This window comes from Homo sapiens, chromosome 19 (genome assembly GCF_000001405.40).
Source record: "Homo sapiens chromosome 19, GRCh38.p14 Primary Assembly".
Lineage (NCBI taxonomy): Eukaryota > Metazoa > Chordata > Mammalia > Primates > Hominidae > Homo > Homo sapiens.
The window spans coordinates 57,109,109-57,118,368 of record NC_000019.10 but is presented as its reverse complement, the minus strand read 5'-3'; the positions used below and the strand labels follow the sequence as shown (position 1 = coordinate 57,118,368).

Below are 9,260 nucleotides of genomic sequence, written 5' to 3'. Positions count from 1 at the left end.
TTGGGACCAGGCTCCTGGCTGCTCATGGAGCCTCAGCCAGATGGTTGTGTGCCTGAGTCCTGTGTTCATTCCACAAACATGCAGCAAGGCTGCGTGGGTTGGAGCCCTGCCTCCAGCGCTTCCCTGCTGCATGACACTGGCAAGTTGCTTAAGCTCTCTGTACCCCATTTCCTCCTCAATAAGGCAGGGATGGTGATCGTACTAGTTCCAAAGGATTATTGTGAGAATTAACATAATACATGAGTTAACACGTATAAAATGCCTAGAACCTTGTCTTTGGATTTCCTCAAACATCCAAGGTGTTTGTACACTAAAGGAAGACACCCAACTTAATTTTCGATCTACAGACCTTGCATTATCTGCAAAATACCGCTGGCTTCTTGACACTGAAGTTATACAAATGTGCCATAATTTTCTTCACAAGTTTCTGGTGTATGTTGATGTTGCTTGAATTAAAACAACCCTGTGACAAGTGGTCTCGTGGAAGTCTTTGCACATGGTCATGCTTGTTTTCTGTGGCTGAACTTGTGGGATTACCTGAATCACCTGTAGGCAAGGTTGTCCCTGCCTCAACATGGTCCCTTCTACCCTTCACAAGACTTCAGTGTGCCCCCATGTCAGCTAAGGCAGAGATTTGGGGCTACGTTACTGGGTAGGGCATAGAGCCAACCTGGATTCTCACATGTTTGTGCTTCCCAAGGACTGCTCCTCAGCCCTCTGCCCTTCCTCAGGAGATGCAGGACATGACCAAAACCCAGATGAGTTTGCATTACTTTTTTTTTTGTTTGTTTTTGAGATGGAGTTTTGCTCTTGTTGCCCAGGCTGACTTGCAATGGCGGGGATCTAGGCTCACTGCAACCTCCACCTCCTGGGTTCAATTGATTCTCCTGCCTCAGCCTCTCTAGTAGCTGGGATTACAGGTGCCCACCACCACGCCTGGCTAATTTTTGTATTTTTAGTAGAGACGGGGTTTCACTATGTTAGCCAGGCTGGCCTTGAACTCCCAACCTCAAGGTGATCTGCCCACCTCGGCCTCCAAAGTGTTGGAATTACAGGCATGAGCCACTGTGCCCGGCCAGTTTGCATTACTTTTTAACTTGCCCTTACATCATTTTCCGGTTGTGTAATACATTTAACAAGCACTTATTGTGTATTGAACACTCACTTTTCTAGGTTAGTGATTCTCACTTGGTGGCAGTTTTGCCCCCAGGGGACAATTGGCAATGTCTGGAGACAGTTTTGGTTGTCACATGGATGCTTCTGCCAGGGTAGAGGCCAAGGACACTACTCAGCATCCTACAGTGCAGTGGATGGCACGCTCCCCACCCACCCCAATCTCCTACAAAAAGAGTTATCCAGCCCAAATGTCAGTAGTGCCCAGGCTGAGAAACCTTACTCTAGGTACAGGAGATGTGGAAGTGAACCTAGCCAACAAAAATCCCTGACCTCATGGAGTTCATGTTCTCCTGGGCCACATTCTAATTTAAGTATTTACATGTATTATCTGTTTATCCATCCAGCCTTCTGTATATTTGCATAGAAAAAATACCTGGGATTGGCCAGGCGCCGTGTCTCACGCCTGTAATCCCAGCACTTTGGAGGCTGAGGTGGGCGGATCATGAGGTCAGGAGGTTGAGACCATCCTGGCTAACACGGTGAAACCCCGTCTCTATTAAAAATACAAAAAATTACCCAGGCATGGTGGCGGGCGCCTGTAGTCCCAGCTACTGGGGAGGCTGAGGCAGGAGAATCGCCTGAACCCGGGAGGCGGAGCTTGCAGTGAGCCGAGATCGTGCCACTGCACTCCAGTCTGGGTGACAGAGCGAGACTCCGTCTCAAAAGAAAAAACAAAAAACCTGGGATTTTATTATTTGCCTACTGTTAAAGATAGTAACCTCTCGGAACTAGGATCTGGAGTGATTACTTTCATCTTTGTCACTTTGGTGCAATGTGTAATTATTTTCATAAGCATGTGTGATTTTTACCAAATAAAAGTGATTTTTCTCAAAACTGAAAAACGTTGGGATGTGCATCTGCAAAACTGTTAAGGGTGTGGCACAGGTGTTGTGACACAAATGTGTGTAAAAGGTACATTAAGAGTTGGGTGCAGTGGCTTGCACCTGCAGTCCCAGATACTTAGAAGTCTGAGGTGGGAGGATGGCTTGAGCCCAGAAGTTCAAGTCCGGCCTGAGAAACATAGTGAGACCCCATGTCTTGAAAAGAAAAGAAAAAGGTACAATAGAGCATCAAAGGCACAAAGAATGGAGTGTCTCTCCTGCCCAGGTATTTTCACTCAATCAAATTCTTTTTTTTTTTTTTTCGTGAGACAGAGTCTCACTCTGTCACCCAGGCTGGAGTACATTGGTGGGATCTGGGCTCACTGCAACCCCGCCTCCCTGGTTCAGGCAATTCTCCTGCCTCAGCCTCCCAAGTAGTTGGGATTACAGGTGTGCACCACCACACCCATCTAACTTTTGTATTTTTAGTAGAGATGGGGTTTCACGATGTTGGCCAGGCTGGTCTCAAACTCCTGACCTCAGGTGATTCACCTGCGTCAGTCTCCCAAAGTGCTGGGATTACAGGTGTGAGCCACTGCGCCCAGTCTCAATCAAATTCTTAATGGAATTATTTTTGGTAATTTGGAAAAATATTTGAAATTTTAACTTAGATAAATAAAGGGGCTAAAAGAAAGCCAGAGGAGGAAAAATTAGAGAAATTACCCAACAGAAATGAGTGGGATGATCCAAAGAACAGTAGGCTGGCCACCGTGTCTTCTAAAGCCAAAGGCACGAAAGACCGTGAACCCATTTTTAAGACTGCCAATTTATCTCTAGTGGGAAATCTGGGAGTATCTGTTAAAGTTTCAGATCCACACTGGTCCAGAAAATCTACCTCTAATGTTCTTTTGAAAAAGAACATTAACCGTGAGTGACTTTGACATCATAGTATACATACAAAGTGTGGTATGATAACTGCACAATGTCCCTGTGTGTATAGACCGTAGATTTAGCCAGATGTTTCTTGGTGAATATTTAGGTTGTTTCCAATCTTTTACCATTAGAAACCATTCTTCAGTAATTAATCATAATACTCAGTCCTTTTCCATCTTCACAAGTATATCCTGGGATACATTCTTAGAGGTAGACTTGCTGGATCAGTAGAGGTAGACTTAGAGGATTGCTTAGAGGTAGACAGTAGAGGTGGATCTTAGAGGTAGACTTGCTGAAGCTTTGATAGGTACTGCTGGATTGTCCACTAGAGATAGACCAGTGGACTTAAAAATGGAGTCCACGGTCATTCTTGCCTTGGGCTTTAGAAGATGTGGTGGCCAGCCCGCTGTCCTTTGGATCATCTTGCTCGTCTTTTTTGGATGATTTCTCTGATTCTCTGTCCTCTAGCCTTTGTCAACCTGGCTCTCAGCCCCATGCCCTTACACCTTTAGATATACATAAGTAAATGTGCTTTCTTTAAGGATGACTATTGGACACCCTTCTTCCTTTTGTTAAACTTGATTTTCTTTTCTTTATTTCCTCTGAAATGCCTGGCATCTCATTTAATTTCCTGTCACATTTTGGCACATAATATGCATTTAAGTGAGTCAAGACTCCAAAACATTTAATAAAAATCAGTGACATTGCTACCTCATACTTCTCAGAGGAGAGGAAAGTGCTGATCTTGTGATGAGATAAAGAAATATTTAAAGTGTTAATATGTTGGAAATTCAAGGATGTGATTATAACTCAGGCAACAAATTGTTGAGTAAGGCACCTAATGAGAATGATTAATGCAACAATTTCTGGAGACTGAGTGCTTTTCAGGGTTCTTTTGTTCCAATAACTTTTAAGAGTTGGTTTATATTAGTGGAGAGCATAACAGATTGCTAACAATTACAAATATTCACTGAATTTTGGAGAGAAGAACAAGTTTATGGTCCCATAAATGTTCTTCATTGGATACCTTATCAGATCGGATTATTTAAATCGTATTATTGAACTATAGCTAAAGAGGAGAGAGGATATCTTTTCTTTCTGAGACTTTTCCAGTGCCTGAAAGATATATTTATTTGACAAGATTCTGTAGTGCCATTTTAATGAGGTGAGAGCCTATGAAACTCAAATTATACTAAGGGATGATAAGTGACATAAGCCAGATACAGAAATAAAAATATTGCATGATTTCACTTACATGTGAAAATTAAAAAAATTTTTTAAACTCAAATTTGTCTGAATATATGTGAAATTAAAAAACAACAACATCAAATACAGAATGGTGGTTACCTGGGTGGGGAGGAGGAGGAAGCGGGGAGATGTGGTCAAATGGTACAGAAGTGCAGTTACGTAGGATGAATAAATCTAGAGATCTAATGTACAGCAGGAGGACTACTGTTAATAGAAATTTGGTCTTTGTCTCCAGTTTGTAACCCCCAGACCCCAGCATTTCCCATAAAAATGGTGTCCTGTTCCCATGTCAGGTGTGATCTTTTTTTTTTTTTTTTTTTTTTTTTTTTGAGATGGAGTTTTGCTCTTGTTGCCCAGGCTGGAGTGCAATGGCATGACCTCGGCTCACCACAACCTCCGCCTCCCGGGTTCAAGCACTTCTTCTTTCTTCTGCCTCAGCCTCCCAAGTAGCTGGGATCACAGGCATGCACCACCACGCCTGGCTAACTTTGTATTTTTAGTAGAGATGGGGTTTCTCCATGTTGGTCAGGCTGGTCTTGAACTCCCGACCTCAGGTGATCTGCCCGCCTTGGCCTCCCAAAGTGTAGGGATTACAAGCGTGAGCCACTGTACCTGGCACATATGTGATCTTTCATTTAGAGTGGGGAGAAGAACCATGGATGTTGGGGACAGGAACCCCATATCAGGGTAGTCCAGGTGAGCCCCTGAGCATCTGGCAAACAGGGCACAAGAAGGTCACACATCCCTGATGATCAGTGAGGGGTTGGCACTGTGCATGTTTCACTCATAGAGTCTGAAATATTGTTTATGGAACTGAATCTGAACAAGACCAAGAGCTCCATCATTTGCCTGTGTATTAGGGTTCTCTAGAGGGACATAACTAATATGGTAGATGTATATATAAAAGGGAGTTTATTAAGGGGCATTGACTCACACGCATACAAGGTGAGTTTCCACTATAGGCCGTCTGCAAGCTGAGGAGCCTGGCACCCTGGTTTGAATGGAGCAGAAGGTTATTTGTTGGAAATACCTTGGCCAAGCATGGTGACACGTGCCTGTCATCTCAGCTACTTGGGAAGCTGAGGTGGGAGGATGGTTACTTAAGCCCAGGAGGCAGAGGTTGTAGTGAGCCACGATTGTGCCACTGCAATCAGCCTGAGTGATACAGCCAGACCTTGTCTCAAAAAAAAAAGTGTATTATTAAGTGCATGGTGTGGATCCAAGTGACATGAGATTGGGTGCCAAGCTGGCATTTACTTCATCTTTCATATTTGCTGTGCTTTTGTGGGCTAGAGAAATTGTAGGTTTGTGCTGAAGAGCGAAGTTATTGTACGTGGTTGTCAGCAAAGGAAAACAGAAGTAAGAAAAAAAACCCTGAAGTCTAGAGCTAAGATCCTGGTCTCTAAAGTGCCCGCAGTTAATGAAAGTCAGATGTAAAAACCAATAAGTAAAAAAAATATGATGTATGGGACAAAATAAGAGTATATACCCACCAAGGGGTATGTGTAAAGAAGTTTAATTCCACAGTGTGATAATGGGAAGATTCACAAGTGATAAATTCTCTCTTCCCTTTTAGGAAATGACTAGGAAGCTGGTAACCAAATAGAGATGCACCAAGAAAATGAAGAGCGACTTTTCTTTTTCTTTCTTTTTTTTTTTGAGAAGGGGTTTTTCTCTTGTTGCCCAAGCTGGAGTGCAATGGTGTGATCTCGGCTCACTGCAACCTCTGCCTCCTGGGTTCAAGCGATTCTCCTGCCTCAGCCTCCCAAGTAGCTGGGATTACAGGCATGCACCACCATGCCTGGCTAATTTTGTATTTTCAGTAGAGATGGAGTTTCACCATGTTGGCCAGGCTAGTCTCAAATTCCTGACCTCAAGTGATCCACCTGCCTTGGCCTCCCAAAGGGTTGGGATCACAGGCGTGAGCCACCATGCCTGGTCAAGGAGAGACTTCCAAATCAAATTAATTTCATCTATGAGAAAACATGTACTGAGCAGAAAGTCTGTGAACGTGAGGCTTTTGTAAACAGTATCCCCTCAAGACAAAAACTCCATGAGCATGTGTTAAGTGGAGGGGGCTTGAAGCATAATTTTGATTTACTTAATTATAGAAGAAATAACCTTTATGGATTTAATGGAGATGAAAAATCATTCAGTTATAATTCATCTTAAATAAAGCATGAGAAAATTCATACAAGTCAGAATGTAGTGAATGTGAGGAGGTATTCAGGCAGAATTTATACCTAATTGGACATCAAAGAATATGCACTAAAGACAAATGCTGTGGATGCAATGAGTGTGAGGAACGCTTTACTGATTGCCCATCCTATGCTAGACACATAAGATTCTATACAGGTGAGGAATCCTAAGAATGCACTCTCTGCCTGAAAGCCTGTAGCAGAAAAGCACACCTTATTATACACTGGAAAATTCACATTGGAGAGAAACTTTATGATTATAGTCAATGTAGGAAAGGCTTTATTGATAGTTCATCTCTTTTTCGACATATGAGAACTCACCCAGGAGAGAAGCCCTGTGAAGGCAAGCAATGGGGAGAAGCCGTCAAATGCAGCTCAGCTTCCTTGCAGCATGGCAGAACTGATGTAGGAAAGAAAACCTGTGATTGTAAAAAATGTGATAAAGCAACAAGAAACAAGACCTCCCAGCTCATCCTACATCAAAAAACTGACACTAGGGGAAAATCCTATGAAAGTACTGAATGTAGGAAGGCTTTTAGTGAGTTTTCCTCCTTAAGGCAACATACTAGAGCTCACACTGAAGAGACATCCCCACAAACATAATACATGTGGAAAAGCATTCTGTTGCATGACTGACATTATTCAACACCAGGAAATCCATAGTGGAGAGAAATGGTTATGTCTCTAATGCATGTGAGGAAGCCTTCCAAAATAGTTTAGCCATTACTCTATTTGAGAGAACTCATACTGAAGAGAAGCCCTATATATTTAATAAGCGTGGAAAAGCCTTTGCTCACATTTCATCCCTTAGTGAACGTGCAAGAACTCATATAGGCAAAAAATTTTGTGAGTCAAGCCTTCAAAATTAGCTCAATATTTATTAGAAACTAAAGAGTTCATATTATATGTTAGTAATTTTTTTTTTGAGATGGAGTCTCTCTCTTGTCGCCCAGGCTGGAGTGCAATGGCACGATATCAACTCACTGCGACGCAACCTATGCCTCCCCGGTTCAAGCAATTCTCCTGCCTCAGCCTCCCAGGTGGCTAGATTACAGGTGCCTGCCACCATGTCCACCTAATTTTTGTATTTTTAGTAGAGACAGCGTTTTGCCGTGTTGTCCAGGCTGGTCTTGAACACCTGATCTCAGGTGATCCTCCTGCCTTGGCCTCCCAAAGTGCTGGGATTACAGATGTGAGCCACCACACCCAGCCTATATGTTAGTAATTTAATGGAATTAAATTAAATTTAAATTAATTTAATTAATTGGAATTAAATTAAATTTAAATTAATTTAATTAATTGGAATTAAATTAATTAAATTAAATTAATTAAATTAATTTGAATTTAATTAATTTAATTAATTAAATTCAAATTAATTTAATTAATTAAATTTAAATTAATTTAATTAATTAATTTAATTAATTGGAATTAAATTAAATTAAATTAATTAATTAATTAAATTAAATAAATTAATTTAATTAATTAATTTAAATTAAATAAATTAATTAAATTTAAATTAATTTAATTAATTAAATTTAAATTAATTTAATTAATTAAATTTAAATTAATTTAATTAATTAAATTTAAATTAAATTTAATTAATTAAATTAAATTAAATTTAATTTAATGGAACTTATACATTTTCAAACTCTGTTATATTAGAAATTACTTTCTAGACCTAAAAGCCTATTATTAAAGGTTTATGGAAAAAACTGGCTGGGTGCAGTGGCTCACACCTGTAATCCCTGCACTTTGGGAGGCTGTGGTGGGCCAATCACTTGATCCCAGGAATTCAAGACCAGCCTGGACAACATAGCAAAATCCCATCTCCACAAAAAATACAAAAAAATTAGCCAGGCATGGTGGCATGTGCCTGTGGTCCCAGCTACTTGGGAGGCTGAGGTGGGAGGCTCACGTGAGCCTGGGAGGTGGAGGTTGCAGTGAGCCATGATCATAGCACTGCACTCCAGCCTGGGTGGCACAGCAAGACTGTCTCAAAAAAAAAAAAGATGAGAAAAAACTTATGTTAGGGCTGTGTTTTGTATAATATAAAAGTTTAAACATAAAAAAGTAAGAAAAAACAAAAAAAAACCCGCCAAAATAATATATGCAGTTAAATAGTGTATCTCATATTGTATACAACTTATATAAGGTCAATTATGACATCTTTTTAGTTTTTTCTAGCAGTTAGATGAGTATCTACCTTTATTTTTATTAAAAATTTTTTTTTAAAGACAGGGTCTCTCTATGTTGCTCAGGCTGGTTTCAAGCTCCTGGGCTCAAGCCATCCTCCTGCCTTGGCCTTCCAAAGTGCTGGGGTTACAGGCATGAGCCACCACACCTGGCCAATGAATACTTACGTTGATTTTTAAGAAATCAGAAGGAAATGTGTATATTTTTATTATTATTTATTTAGAACATTACATGTAAAGGTGATTCAGTGGAGAAATGGAGATGTTTTGCATTCCTGTTAGCAGTTGTGTGAGTATCTCATTTTAAAAATGCCTAATCCAATACAAACTAAAATGTTAATTGTTTTCTTACTACAATGTCGCTTGATATTATGTAAAAGCAGAACTGAATCTTCATAAGCATAGATCACGATGAAGCACCGATGCATACTACACTGGCTCTGATCAGTTTTCTCAAGAACATTTCATTCATTAAAAAGTTAATTGTTTTCATGTTCTAAATATTTATTTTAAATGATGTTTGGGGTCATAAGTTGAAATGACCATAAAATAAAAGTTATTTTATGGGTCACAGGTCTTATCCTTCAGAGTTGTCATCTTCTGTATCTATATCATTTTATTCCAGCACAAGAGGAATTTTTAATCTTCCTTTTACATTTTATTTATTTATTTATTTATTTATTTATTTATTT

At 40.2% G+C, this 9,260-nt stretch overlaps 1 pseudogene; it reads left to right on the top strand.

Moving 5' to 3' along the window:
• LOC100419839 (zinc finger protein 300 pseudogene) lies at positions 6,342-7,249 on the top strand (annotated as a pseudogene).